At 36.6% G+C, this 16,007-nt stretch overlaps 1 protein-coding gene across 60 annotated transcripts in view; it reads right to left on the reverse strand.

The window, feature by feature from the left end:
* Nucleotides 1-16,007, reverse strand: part of INPP4B (inositol polyphosphate-4-phosphatase type II B) — an 823,376-nt gene that overhangs the window by 86,137 nt on the left and 721,232 nt on the right. For 52 of the 60 annotated variants that reach the window (NR_169617.1, NR_169599.1, NR_169623.1 and 49 more), the window contains 4 exons: nt 15,292-15,464; nt 13,996-14,119; nt 12,832-12,949; nt 3,246-3,386 (listed from right to left, as the gene is read on the reverse strand). The exons of 3 other annotated variants lie outside the window; for them this stretch is intronic. Coding sequence is in view for 48 of the 57 variants with exons in the window: in NM_003866.3 (NP_003857.2) it covers nt 3,246-3,386; nt 12,832-12,949; nt 13,996-14,119; nt 15,292-15,464 (556 nt within the window). In the remaining 9 variants the exon portion in view is untranslated. Of the gene's footprint in view, nt 1-3,245; nt 3,387-4,350; nt 4,471-12,831; nt 12,950-13,995; nt 14,120-15,287; nt 15,465-16,007 lie in introns of those variants that run through there. 5 more of the 60 variants (NR_169615.1, NR_169618.1, NR_169616.1 and 2 more) reach the window with 4 other exon arrangements.

Below are 16,007 nucleotides of genomic sequence, written 5' to 3' on the forward strand. Positions count from 1 at the left end.
AATGAAAAATGAATTCATCTATACAAAAAATATTTAACATCAACTACATACCATACATTGCACCATGCAATAAATGAAATGTTGGAAAAATTAATCTAACCTATATTTCATCATATCAACTCACTGAACTTCAATGCTTCTCTCCTCCCTGAAAGGACGATGTCTTATAGTCTCCCTAGTTTAGCATCTAAGTTTCCACAAAGGCTTCCAAAACCTCTTGTGGGAATGTAGTTACACTCTCCTCCCTTAGCAGCAGTATTTCAATGCCTTTGGGACTTTTAACATTCTATCCACTCTTGACTTGAATGTCTTACTTTTCTTGATAGCTTGATTAATTCTGATTCATCTTTAAAGCCTGGCTCATCTCCTCTATGATACTTCCCCCACGGATTCATCTCCCTTCTGTGAATTGCTTTGTTTTATGCACTATTCCTGTTCCTTCCACACCTTTAATTATTGCATGAGCCGAACTGTAATGTAATGTTTGTTGACTTGTCTTCCTCACTGGATTACACCTTCTTTCAGGATAGGAAGCCGATTCCACGCTTCTTGTTACCCTGTATTCCTCTTATGTCCCATAGCTTGGCAGAGCAGTGCTTGGTATAAACTCAGTGTTCAGTATCTATACTGAGTTGAACTTGGAGAACAGGGATACAGACCCCAAAAATCTAGAGGAGTTTCCATAGAATCTGAAATATATTCTTCTAATGTTTTCAGACACTGTAATCAACTGGTATTTAAAAAATACCATCCTTGCTGGAGTAACATTAGTGTTATGGAATAAATGTTTGTGTTGTCCTAAAATTCATATGTGGAAGCCCTAAGCCCGAAATGGCAATGGCAGTATTTTGAGACAGTGCCTCTAAGGGGTAATTAAAGTTAAATGAGATTATGAGAGTGGGCTCTTTCTTTCCACAGGCACAAAGAAGAGGTTATGTGAGCATATAGGGAGAATGTGGTCAGTTGTCTGACAGCCAGAAAAAGAGCCCTCACTGGAAACCAAATTGGCTGAAACCTTGACCTTGGACTTCCCAGCTTCCTGAACTATGAGAAACAAATTTCTGTTGTTTAAGCCACCCAGTCTACAGTATTTTGTTACAGCAGCCCAAGCAGACTAATAGTATTTATTTATCTAAGAATGGTCATATACAACATCTACATTTTGAATTTGAGTAAACAGTAGTGAAATACTACTTCTAGATTACATAGCATATCTAACATGTAGATGTTGCTGGTAAAGCTCAAAATTCAGAATCAGAAAAAGGAGGTTCAGAGAACAGAGAGTAAGCAATATGCTCAAATTAACGGTTGATGTCAGAGTGCTATTCAAATTCAGGCCTCCTGCTTCTCTCAGGGTTTCCCTACTTTGCCATTTTGCTCCTTTTCCAGTCTTGTGTGTCTTGTACAGCTTCCATGTGTGAAAAAAGTGCATTCTTAGTATGCAAGAGAGATGAGAAGGAAGGAAAGGACACTTCTTAAATAAAATGACTGACAACTAAAACAATCACAATAACATGAATGATGCAAATTAGTCCATCTTAGAAGCCTTGAAAATATAATGCTGACTAGTCTTTGAAAAGTCTGTAAATGGAAGAGTCTCATATCTCTCTCAAGATCACAATCACAGACCTTATTAATTCCAACTCAAAACACTCTACTGTAGTGTACCGAAGAAGAGGCAATTTGGAATGCTGTTCCCCTGCTCCAAGTTGTATAGTTCATGCTCAGGAATATCATTCATCTCAAACATTGAATTTGCTGAGACAAATATATATATAGATAAATAGAATATAATCTAATCCTAGAAACTAGCTTTCAAAAGTACTTAATTATCAAGGCAAGGAATATGCTAGGTACTTTTAAACTTACCTGTGGGGCAGGGGTCACTTGGAGAGTGAATTATAGATAAGAAAGCATGTTAAATATTATAATACCAAAGACTATCAAACTCCCAAAATTGTTGCCTGTGAAGGAACTTCTCCAGTCAGCCCCTACAGCCAAGATGCTAACTTCTTTCTCTAAAATATTTCAAAAGTATGTTCTATGATCTTTTTTTGTTTGTTTTTTGAGACGGAGTTTTGCTCGTATCACCCAGGCTAGAGTGCAATGGTGCAATCTCAGCTCACCGCAACCTCTGCCTCCCCAGTTCAAGCGATTCTCCTGCTTCAGCCTCCCAAATAGCTGAGATTACAGGCACCCGCCACTATGCCCAGCTAATTTTTGTATTTTTAGTAGAGTTGGGGTTTTGTCATATTGGCCAGGCTGGTCTTGAACTCCTGACCTCAGGTGATCCACCTGCCTCTGCCTCCCAAAGTGCTAGGATTTACAGGTGTGAGCCACTGACCCTGGCCTGTTCTATGATCTTTAACTGTTATCTACGTTTTCTGTAATCTCTATATGTGAGCCATGTAAGATGTAAAAATAAGTCTTTCAAAAAAAAGAGATTTTTTTTTATTTCTTTTTTTGAGATGGAGTCTCGCTCTGCCGCCCAGGCTAGAGTACAGTGGCGTGATCTCAGCTCAACACAACCTCCATCTCCCGAGTTCAAAAAATTCTCCTGCCTTAGCCTCCTGAGTAGCTGGGATTACAGGTGATCACCACCACGCCTGGCTAATTTTTGTATTTTTAGTAGAGACGAGGTTTCACCATCTTGGCCAGGCTGATCTTGAACTCCTGACCTCAGGTGATCCACCCTCCTCTGCCTCCCAAAGTGCTGGGATTACAGGCGTAAGCCACCACGACCAGCAAAAAAAAAGTGTTTTTTAACTGACTTATGGGATCACAGTACAATCATTTGCTGACTGAGCAAGTCATTATTAAAAAAGCTAACATTACCAAATAATAACCATTAAAATAAACACAAAAAAGAGAAAAACTCTGTTTTAGATTTAAAAACTTGATGCTATTATCTGTTTACAATATTGAGATATGTATAAACATGAATTCTAAAATTTAATATACACATAGGTATTTGGAAACAAAGAAGGTTAATCCATGCAAATGCTTTATTTAGTATTGGCATCAAGATTTTCCTCAATATTTTTGCCACATTTAAATTTGGCTTGGGCCAGGATTCCTTAAATATGAAAATTTACCTTCTATCTCAAATAATTTGATACTGATAAAAAGAAAAATGTTACTCATAAATTGATGTTAGTTCTACATGCAGATACATGGGACTTCTCATCATATGCTTAAAAGGAACAAAGAAAAATCTCAAGTGCGACTCTTACACCAAAGCTTACCTTTCAGCCAGAGTTTGCTGTTCATTGATTCCAACATTAAAAAGTACTGGATACACATGAAGCAACTGTCCTTCTTTAATCTGTAGAGGTAGTGACTCAAACATTCTGGCTGGAAGCTTGACCTCTACCACGTAATGTTCTCTAAAGAAGGCAGAGGACAAAGGGAAGAAACATTACTTATTTGTTTTGTGTTATTTTAGATTTATTGGAAGAAAACATTAAAAGGGTTGGAATATAGCACTGATTTAGGTTTCTGTTGCTATATGCTTATATTCCTCATTCATTCATCTCCTTATTAAATTACTTGACATAAAAATTGTAAGAATTCATTTACGTGTGTGATTTCTCTACCTCACTCTGAATTCCTTCAGGAAAAAAATGTTCGGTTCATTTTTGTACACCCAGGGTCATGTGCATTGATAGCCTCAATTTTTTTTCTTTATTTAATTATTTTTAAAACTCAATCAGTCCTAAGAATAAGAGCAATAATTTAATGACTGCTGTTTCAATACAGTGAAGCTAAATAAACCAAATAATTTATATGATTTTTTGGTATGGCTTGTTTGTTATCACTATTGATGAGTGTTTCTGTTTATGATGCGCTGATGGAAAGGTAATGGTTTTATTGCTTAGAGTGAAACTTTCAGGAATTCTGGTCATTTTGAAACATTAACATATCACAGGAGCATTTTTCACTGGAAATGTCCATTAAAAACTACCCCTATTTTTTAATGTTGAAAATTTAAGTTAGGATTAGTACAATATGATTAATAAGAGTAGCTACTTACATATTTTAAAAACTGTCATCTTCTGATACAGTGTGAATTGAATATAGAAATTTAGAAAGCTTTGCCCAGAGGTTGGGAAAATCCATGTGTTTCAAGAACTATATAGAGTGGTGGCATTGTAAGATATGCACTGGGGAAATAAGCATAGGGCAAATAGTGAGCCTCTTTGTGAAAATCTTTTTAATTTCTCCTAGTATAACATTATTGATAAACAGTGTGGACCACTGACTCTGAGACTTGTTTCTTTCTACCTATGAAATAGAGACCTGGTAAATATCATGAATTTAGCAAGCAGGGATGTTAGCATTACCTTCAGATGAGTGAGCGCATTATTTTTCTTTGTTTAATTGCTCTCAATGCCATTTACAATAGCCTGGCTAACAGTTTTTCAGGAATATGAGAAGCATCAATGAGTCAGTTCATGCTTTAAACTTGTTCTGAAGGTGAAACATATAATTTCTTTGTGATAATTTTACCAGCTTTATTAAGAAATTGATATGAATTCATGCATTTTAAGTATATAATTCATAATTTCAACAAATTTATAGAATTATACAATCATGACAATAATCCAGGTTTAGTACATTTCCATCAACTTAAAAAGATTCCTTGTGCCTGTTTATAGTCAGCTATACTACCACCGCTAGCCCAGAAAGCCACACATCTATTTTCTCTCTGTTTCCTATGAATGAATTTTATTTTTCTGCATATATCCTATGAATTGATTCATACAGTATGTAATCTTTTCTATCTGGCCTTTTTCACCTAGCATAATGTTTTTGAAGTCATCCATGTTGTGGCATGTATCAGTAGCTTGTTCCTTTTAATTAGCGAATAGAATTCTATTGTATCGATATCACTTTTTGTCAACACGTTTATCAGTTGATAGACACTTGGATTATTCCATGATTCGGCGTATTATTAATAATGCTGCTATTAACATGCAGGATTGAGCCGTGGTATGGAGATATGTTTCATTTTCTCTTGGGGGTAAGTCTAAAAGTCATATGGTAATTTTATATTTAACTTTTTAAGACTGCCAAACTGTTTTCAAAGTGACAATTCCACCAGCAATGTACAAGGGTTCCAGGTTTTCCACATCCTCACCAACATTTGCTCTTATCTGATGATTCTAGTGTGAAGGAAATGGTATCTGTGATTTTAAATTTATTCTCCTAGTGAGGAATTATGTTGAATATGTTTTCTTGTACTTATAAATCATTCATATATCCTATTTGGTGAAACGGCTATTCAAACTTTTTGCCCATATTTAAATTAGGTTTTTGGTGTCATTATTATTGAGTTGTAACATTTATTTACATATTCTGAATATGAGTCCTTTTTCAAATATAGGATTTGTAAATATTATCTTCTAATCTGTGGCTTGTCTTTTTACTTACTTAATGGTGTTCTTTTGATGCTTAAATGTTCATAATTTTGATGAAGTCCTATTTATCTATTTTCTTCTTTTATGGGTCTTGATTTTTGTGTCATGTCTAAGAACTAATTACCTAAACCGGTAATAACTTCTCCAAGCTAAAGGAGAAGGTTCAAACCCATCACAAAGAAGATAAAAACCTCGAAAAAAGATTAGACAAATGGTTAACTAGAATAAACAGTATAGAGAAGACCTTAAATGACCTGATGGAGCTGAAAACCACGGCACAAGAACTACATGATGCATGCCCAAGCTTCAGTAGCCGATTCAATCAAGTGGAAGAAAGGGTATCAGTGATGGAAGATCAAATGAATGAAATGAAGTGAGAAGAGAAATTTAGAGAAAAAAGAGTAAAAAGAAACCAACAAAGCCTCCAAGAAATATGGGACTATGTGAAAAGACCAAATCTACATCTGATTGGTTTACCTGAAAGTGACAGGGACAATGGAACCAAGTTGGAAAACACTCTGCAGGATATTATTCAGGAGAACGTCCCAAATCTAGCAAGGCAGGCCAACATTCAAATTCAAGAAATACAGAGAACACCACAAAGATATTCCTCGAGAAGAGCAACTCTAAGACACATAATTGTCAGATTTACCAAAGTTGAAATGAAGGAAAACATGTTAAGGGCAGTCAGAGAGAAAGATTGGGTTACCCACAAAGGGAAGCCCATCAGACTAACAGCAGATCTCTTGGCAGAAACTCTACAAGCCAGAAGATAGTGGGGGCCAATATTCAACATTCTTAAAGAAAAGAATTTTCAACCCAGAATTTCATATCCAGCCAAACTAAGCTTCATAAGTGGAGGAGAAATAAAATCTTTTACAGACAAGCAAATACTGAGAGATTTTGTCACCACCAGGCCTGCCTTACAAGAGCTCCTCAAGGAAGCGCTAAACGTGGAAAGGAACAACTGGTAGCAGCCCCTGCAAAAACAGTGCAAATTATAAAGACCATTGAGGCTAGGAAGAAACTGCATCAACTAACAAGCAAAATAACCAGCTAACATCATAATGACAGGATCAAATTCACATGTAACAATATTAACCTTAAATGTAAATGGGCTAAATGCTACAATTAAAAGACACAGACTGGCAAATTGGATAAAAAGTCAAGACCCATCAGTGTGCTGTATTCAGGAGACCCATCTCACATGCAGAGACACACATAGGCTCAAAATAAAGGGATGGAGGAAGATCTACCAAGCAAATGGAAAACAAAAAAAGGCAGGGGTTGCAATCCTAGTCTCTGATAAAAGAGACTTTAAACCAACAAAGATCAGAAGAGACAAAGAAAGCCATTACATAATGGTAAAGGGATCAATTCAACACGAAGAGCTAAGTATCCTAAATATATATGCACCCAATACAGGAGCACCCAGATTCATAAAGCAAGTCCTTTGAGAAATACAAAGAGACTTAGACACCCACACAATAATAATGGGAGACTTTAACACCTCACTCTCAACGTTAGACAGATCAAGGAGACAGAAAGTTAACAAGGATATCCAGGAATTGAACTCAGCTCTGCACCAAGCAGACCTAATAGACATCTACAGAACTCTCCACCCCAAATCAACAGAATATACATTCTTCTCAGCACCACATCACACTTATTCCAAAATTGACCACATAGTTGGAGGTAAAGCACTCCTTGGCAAATGTAAAAGAACAGAAATTATAACAAACTGTCTCTCAGATCACAGTGCAATCAAACTAGAACTCAGGATTAAGAAACTCACTCAAAACTGCTTGACTATGTGGAAACTGAACAACCTGCTCCTGAATGACTACTGGGTACATAACGAAATGAAAGCAGAAATAAAGATGTTCTTTGAAACCAATGAGAACAAAGATACAACATACCAGAATCTCTGGACACATTTAAAGCAGTGTGTAGAGGGAAATGTATAGCAACAAATGCCCAAAAGAGAAAGCAGGAAAGGTCTAAAATTGACACCCTAACATCACAATTAAAAGAACTTGAGAAGCAAGAGCAAACACATTCAAAAGCTAGCAGAAGGCAAGAAATAACTAAGATCAGAGCAGAACTGAAGGAGATAGAGACACAAAAAACCGTTCAAAAAAAGCAATGAATCCAGGAGCTGTTTTTTGAAAAGATCAACAATATTGACAGACCGGTAGCGAAACTAATAAAGAAGAAAAGAGAAAATAAACAAATAGATGCAACAAAAAATGATAAAGGGGATATCACTACTGATCTCACAGAAATACAAACTATCATCAGAGAATACTATAAACACCACTATGCAAATAAACTAGAAAATCTAGAAGAAATGGATAAATTCCTGGACACATATACCCTCCCAAGACTAAACGAGGAAGAAGTTGAATCCCTGAATAGACCAATGACAGGCTCTGAAATTGAGGCAATAATTAATAGTCTACCAACCAAAAAAGTCCAGGACCAGATGGATTCACAGCCAAATTCTATCAGAGGTACAAAGAGAAGCTGGTACCATTCCTTCTGAAACCATTCCAATCAATAGAAAAAAAACGAATCCTCCCTAACTCACTTTATGAGGCCAGCATCATCCTGATACCAAAGCCTGGCAGAGACACAACAAAAAAAAGAGAATTTTAGACCAATATCTCTGATGAACATTGATGCAAAAATCCTCAATAAAATACTGGCAAACCGAATCCAGCAGCACATCAATAAGCTTATCCACCATGATCAGGTGGGCTTCATCCCTGGGATGTAAGGCTGCTTCAACCTATGCAAATCAATAAACATAATCCATCACATAAACAGAACCAAAGACAAAAATCACACGACTATCTCAATAGATGCAGAAAAGGCCTTTGACAAAATTCAACAGCCTTTCATGATAAAAACTCTCAATAAATTAGGTATCGATGGGACGTATCTCAAAATAATAAGATCTATCTATGACAAACCCACAGCCAATATCATACTGAATAGGCAAAAACTGGCACAAGACAGGGATGCCCTCTCTCACCACTCCTATTCAACACATAGTGTTGGAAGTTCTGGCTAGGGCAATCAGGCAGGAGAAGGAAATAAAGGGTATTCAATTAGGAAAAGAGGAAGTCAAATTGTCCCTGTTTGCAGATGACATGATTGTATATCTAGAAAACCCCATCGTCTAAGCCCAAAATTTCCTTAAGCTGATAGGCAACTTCAGCAAAGTCTCAGGATACAAAATCAATGTACAAAAATAACAAGCTTTACTATACACCAATAACAGACAAACAGAAAGCCAAATCATGAGTGAACTCCCATTCACAGTTGCTTCAAAGAGAATAAAATAACTAGGAATCCAACTTACAAGGGATGTGAAGGACCTCTGCAAGGAGAACTACAAACCACTGCTCAACGAAATAAAAGAGGACACAAACAAATGGAAGAACATTCCACGCTCATGCATAGGAAGAACCAATATCGTGAAAATGGCCATACTGCCCAAGGTAATTTATAGATTCAATGCCAACCCCATCAAGCTACCAATGACTTTCTTCACAGAATTGGAAAAAACTACTTTAAAGTTCATATGGAACCAAAAAAGAGCACGCATTGCCAAGACAATCTTAAGCCAAAAGAAGAAAGCTGGAGGCATCATGCTATCTGACTTCAAACTATACTACAAGGCTACAGTAACCAAAACAGCATGGTACTGGTACCAAAACAGAGACATAGACCAATGGAACAGAACAGGGCCTTCAGAAATAATACCACACATCTACAACCACCTGATCTTTGAAAAACTTGACAAAAACAAGAAATGGGGAAAGGATTCCCTATTTAATAAATGGTGCTGGGAAAACTGGCTAGCCATATGTAGAAAGTTGAAACTGGATCCCTTCCTTACACCTTATACAAAAATTAATTCAAGATGGATTAAAGACTTAAATGTCAGACCTAAAACCATAAAAACCCTAGAAGAAAACCTAGGCAATACCATTCAGGACATAGGCATGGGCAAGGACTTCATGACTAAAACACCAAAAGCAATGGCAACAAAAGCCAAAATTGAGAAATGGGATCTAATTAAACTAAAGAGCTTCTGCACAGCAAAAGAAACCACCATCAGAGTGAACAGGCAACCTACAGAATTGGAGAAAATTTTTACAATCTATCTATCTGACAAAGGGTTAATATCCAGAATCTACAAGAACTTAAACAAATTTACAAGAAAAAAAATCAAACAACCCCATCAAAAAGTGGGCAAAGGATATGAACAGACACTTCTCAAAAGAAGACATTTATGCAGCCAACAGACACATGAAAATATGCTCATCATCACTGGCCATCAGAGAAATGCAAATCAAAACCAAAATGAGATACCATCTCAAGCCAGTTAGAATGGCGATCATTAAAATGTCAGGAAACAACAGGTGCTGGAGAGGATGTGGGGAAATAGGAACACTTTTATACTGTTGGTGGGACTGTAAACTAGTTCAACCATTGTGGAAGACAGTGTGGCGATTCCTCAAGGATCTAGAACTAGAAATACCATTTGACCCAGCCATCCCATTACTGGGTATGTACCCAAAGGATTATAAAACATGCTGCTATAAAGGCATATGCACATGTACGTTTGTTGCGGCACTATTCACAATAGCAAAGACTTGGAACCAACCCAAATGTCCATCAATGATAGAATGCATTTAGAAAATGTGTCACATATACACCATGGAATACTATGCAGCCATAAAAAAAGATGAGTTCATGTCCTTTGTAGGGATATGGATGAAGGTGGAAACCATCATTCAGAGCAAACTATTGCAAGGACAGAAAACCAAACACTGCATGTTTTCACTCATAGGTGGGAACTGAACAATGAGAACACTTGGACACAGGATGGGGTACATCATACATTGGAGTCTGTCGTGGGGTGGGGGGAAGGGAGAGGGATAGCATTAGGAGATATACCTAATGTAAATGACGAGTTTATGGGTGCGGCACACCAACATGGCAGATGTATACACATGTAACAAACCTGCACATTGTGCACATGTAGCCTAGAACTTAAAGTATATATACACACACACACACACACACACACACACATACACATATATATACATATATACGTATATATGAGTTCTATATATATATACATATATACGTATATATACGTGTGTATATATATGTATATATATAGAACTCATTACCTAAACCCAACTTACAAATATTTCCTTCTGAGTTTTCTTCTAGAAGTTTCACAGTTTTAGCTCTTACATTTAGATCTATAATCTATTGTGAGCTAATTTTTGTGTATGTGTAAATTCTTCTCTTTCCATATAGATAAACCAATTGTCCCAGCATCATTTTTTGAAAAGATTCTCCATTCTCCATTGAATTACCTTGGCAGCTTTGTTTAAAATCAATTGACTTTAAAGATAATAGTTTATTTCTGGACAGTAAATTTTGTTCTATTAATCTACATTATATACTTATGCTAATACTACATTGTCTTGATTATTATAGTTTTGTAGTAATTTGTGAAGTCAGAAAGTGTAAGTTTTTCCACTTTGTTCTTCTTTTACAAAATGTCTGGGTCCTTTGCATTTACATATAAATTTTAGGTTAGGCTTGCCAATTTCTGCAAAAAGACTACGGAGATTTAGATAGCGATTGCAATGAATCTATAGATCAATTATGGAGAATTACTAAACAATATTGAGTCTTCTAATCCATGAACACAGGCTGTCTCTCCATTTAGTGGATCCTATTAATTTCTCTCAGCAATATTTTGTGTCTTCTGTGTACAACATTCAGACTAACTTTGTTAAGTTTATACCTATTCTTTTCGATGTGATTATAAGTTAGACTCGTTAATCTAAACCACCATTTCTGACAACTTTCAGGACTGTGCTATTTCCTACTCCAATCCAAGTCAAGTCAGCCCCCTCTGTTAGTGAAGCTGCTGGTGTTAATGGCCTTGCCCTAGGAAATTGTGTTCACAGGGCCAGGGTTGATGGGAGCAGCCCTCAGCAAAATGCCACAGACTTCTACTGATGCTGCCCAATGTTCACTAGTTTCTCACAAATAAGTACTTCTGAATTTGTGGTGTGCATCCAATTTATTCTGTTTATCCTAAAATGGTTGTTTTGGATTGTTATTTCCAGTTGTAATATTCCTTTTGGAGAGAGGGTGTGCTAAGCTGCTCACTTCATCATTCTAGGAGCCATGCCCCTACCTGCATGATCACTTTTGAGTTTCAATACTGTTTGAAGAACTTCCTCAGAAAAAGCATGCTGTACTCTGCCTACACTAAATGGCCTGGTAAGCTTCCCTTAAACATTGTGATATAAGTGTTAGTGTTTCACTTTTGATAGTAAACTTGAGAGAAATATAGAATTGTACTGTTTTTCAGGTGTGCGTATGAGCAATTTTATTCTTTTTCTCCCAAATGAATGGCAAGTTAAGCATTAATTCTAGGTAAATATTTAGTTTCTGAGGATGTGGGTTTTTTTGTGAGTAAGAAAGTCACCTTTCAGTCAACTATGTGGTTCTGGGTATCCTTCATAACATTTAAAATAATTATTATATGTTTACTATCAACAGGAAAACAAGTTTACTTTGAACTTTATACTCAGTGTGTTTTGCATCTCTCTCTAGCATGAAAAGGCTCTCCCTTTTGTATGTTCATATGTTTTGAACATGACCCCAGAATGTTTCAAATTTTAAATATCCTCATGCAGCAATTAAAAGCACTAACACCGGAATAGTTTGGACCTCTGATTGAGACAACTTACTATAAGATGTACCTCTTCTATTGGAGGTCTGTTCTACACACCATCATTTTTCTTAATTATTTCTGACATTTTGCCTATCATACACTGACCTTCGAAGCTATTTATTGAAAACCCTTCTCGGAAATCTCATAGTCTGAGAGTGAATTGTCAAAAATAATTAAGAAAAATGGTGGTATATTCCCCTGACACAGAAATATATCTTTTCTAAAATGTTGCTGCTTTTAACTGAATTTAATTTAAAGTCATTTCAAGAATTATGAGTCTATTAACTGAACAACTCCCGCAAAAGTAAAAACACCCAGAGCTTTGGATGAGATAGTAATAAGGAGAAAAATGTTCTCATGCAGGCTATTATTTTGAATTTCTTGTATTTTGTGGGAGAGTACTGCCATACTCAACTCACTACAATTTAAAACATTCATGAGACTTCCAGGAGTTTTTTGAGATTGTCCCCTATCATATCATCCATGTGTATTTCTTACCAAAAAGGAAAAGAAAAAAAACAAAAGAAATATTCCCAAATCAAACCTGAATTCTCCTTGCCTCCTCTGACAGGAGTTAACACGACATGTCTAACAAAGCCTGGTCTTCAGGAAGTGAGCACTGCTTACCGTCTTCCTGTTATAACTGGCAACACATCATTGGATTTGGCTTCAATTATTTTAAATGCAACTTTCTTTAAATCGGAAATGCCAACGGCCATGTCCTCTAGCATTCCAATTTCATCGCCTAAACAATAGAAAAGGCACTTAGCTACAAACAAACATTTGAGGAAAATGTCACTAGCTACTATGCCTCCCTGCTGGAATTTGTTCTAGCATTTTATTGAATGAGTTTCTGAATGCAGTGAACCTACTCTAGACACTTTTCCTCAGAGGCTGAAGGTGTTTCTTAGTGAAATGAGAACCATTTCAATGGACTTCAGAAGTCAATCTACCCTTTGAGGGAAGGAAGAACGTGGACATTTGCTGTGAGGCTGGAGAGAGTGTTTTAACCCCTTTGTGATTTGTGCACCTTTCTTTCTACTGGCAGGACTGATATCTGTTGTCTAGAAATAACAGAGGTAGCTGAATTTATCATCACTGACCCAGGTTCATGCTAGTTTTGCATCTCCATACATTAACAAATGAAGCCTGACAGGGAGATCATTAAGATTCCAGATCAGCACTCTCTAACAGAAATATGTGAGCCACATATATAATTTTAAATTTCCTGGTAGTCATTTTTTAAAAGAGTGAAATTAAAAAGGTAGAATTAATTTTAATAATATATTTTACTTAATCCAGTATATCCAAAATACCATTTCAATTGTAAATTAATATGAAATTATTAATTATCAATATAAAATATCTTTTAAAACTAGTTTTTGAAATCTGGTATGCATATCTAGTACTTATTGATTTGGACTAGACACATTTCAATTACCCAAAAGTCACACAAGGCTACTATATTGAACAGTGCAGTTCTAGACATTACAGGGTTGAGACTTTAAAATCCAGTCATTGCAACTATGTTGGCACAGAGCCTTTTATATTAAAAAAGCCAGATGGCTGCTCAGGAGTCCACTCTGAAATAATCTATAATTCCATTTTCAAAGCATAATAGGAGGCAAAAGTAAGTTACAAGGTGAATGCAAAAAACTGAAAGTTATATTATTTTTGTAATACTTGGCACAATAAAGGTTTACTTATTTTTATGTTTTCTTGAAAAATTTCTGGATTAAATGTCCTTCTGAATAGAAATGTGATTTTAACTTGTACTAAAGCAATACTCACTGTATGTACTTAGCAGTCCTTCATATTGTACTATCAACCCCACTGTGTGAAGCTGCTGTAGGAAGCCTGGGTCATACAGACTTGTCTGTAATTTGATGATAAAACCACAAACCAATCCAGCAAGCTGAAAAAAAAATATTGATGAGATTTACTGCAGTTAGCAAACGTATTTGTTTTATTTTGAAATATTTTAAGACTTCTGAGGCATCACAGATTCGATTATCAGGTATGTATAACAAAACTACAACTATTTGGTAGGCATAGTAAAACAAGTTGACAGTCTTTGATCTAGAATTGCTGTGTATAAAAGTCTTGGGGAAGGTAGAAGTGCAAAGGGAAAAAGAACATGGACAGGAGTAAGGTTGATAGGTCTTCAAATCTTATATCTACCATTTCTAACAGTAAATTCATAAACACTTAAGCACTTCCAAATCTTACTATTTTTTGTACATGTAAAATAGAGATGATAATAATCATTTCACAGGGTCATTAAAAGAACACAATGACGAAACATGTATGTATAAGGCAGAGCATATTTTCCGACACCTGGTTAGCTTCATGTGCCACTGGACCATTCATGAAATAGTGGGGGAAAGCGACAGTTTGGTTAAAATATTCCCTTTTCCTAGAATGTTTAGAAAGAGAAGTCTTCTTTTTCTTTCTCTCCATATGTCCTGTCTATAAAACTCAGCCATGAGGATGGAGGCAGGTGGGGAGAAGGAAGGCACCAGCACACCCACCGTGATGGAGGCAGGCCTTGGCATTATGAATCATGTTGGGTGTAGGCAAGGAAGGTGGCCCTGTCAAACCTCCTATTCGAGCCTTACTGCCCTGAAAACTTATTTTAAAAACAAAATAAGAGATAATTGTGAAATCCTGTCCCAGGATTCATGGGGGAGCTGTACAAATAAGCGACTGCAAACAGATCCCCTTTGCCAAGTCCTAGCTTGTCACCTGGAGTGCAAGTCAACAGTCCCTTCCCTTACACTTATGTAGATCCCAGAGCATAATACAAAGATGATGACCACTTCCTTCACGGACTTCATGCCCTGTGAAGCAGAATTTACATGTTAGAGACTTGGCCATCTCTTTTCAGAAATAAATACTTAAGGTCTCATAAACTCTTTGCTTAGGATATTCAGCTGATATTTATCGTGAATAAGAAACATGGGATACCAAAACTTTAAGGATCTTTTTAAAAATAAAGCTGTCCCAATAAGAATTCTATTCATCATCAAGGATAGGATGTTAACAATCCGGCATTGTTTTGTACTAACAATAACAACAGGCACCTACTGCTTGGCTGAAGACGATGTCTCTTCTTAGCGTCAGCATCAGACACTGGGGCAAGCTGTACGCAAGTTCCTGAAGGAGCACAAATGTCAGGGACTGCTTGGCTCGGTTCACCACTTCTCCCATGCAGTCCTTCAGGGTAAGGATGAGGGGATACAACTGTTCATACCAGTCCTCTGGGGGAAGGGGGTGTAAGAACAGTGCAATAGATGAAGGAAGGTCTTGGAATATAATGCAGAACCAACTTCCAACTTATTTTTAATTTTTCAGTAAGTTAGACATATTCTTAAGGATTCACAAAGATTAGAGCTGAAGATCTCTAATTTAAATCTCTCGCCTGAACTCCACAATGTCCATAAGCAGCCACCCATCAGACCTCTCCAAGTGGATGCATTTAACATATTTGCAGCAGATCTCTCTTCTCTGCTCATCTCTAATCTGTGCACTACCTGTATCTTAGTGAGTGGTGCCATCAAATCTTTCTCATACTGGAAACAGAAGTTTTACTGGACTTCCTCTTTTGCAGTTTTCACATTAACTTGGTCATTAAATTAGTTCTACTACTCTTAACAGTCCATCAATATGCATCTTCTCCTTGTCCATGCCCATCGTTGTTTATTGCTCTCCCTTGGATTACTTCCTGGACTACTCCCTAACCCATCTCCCTTCCTCCAGTCACACTCTACTGAATTCCCTTCTCAACAGTGTTGCCAGAAACA

This window comes from Homo sapiens, chromosome 4 (genome assembly GCF_000001405.40).
Source record: "Homo sapiens chromosome 4, GRCh38.p14 Primary Assembly".
Taxonomy (NCBI): domain Eukaryota; kingdom Metazoa; phylum Chordata; class Mammalia; order Primates; family Hominidae; genus Homo; species Homo sapiens.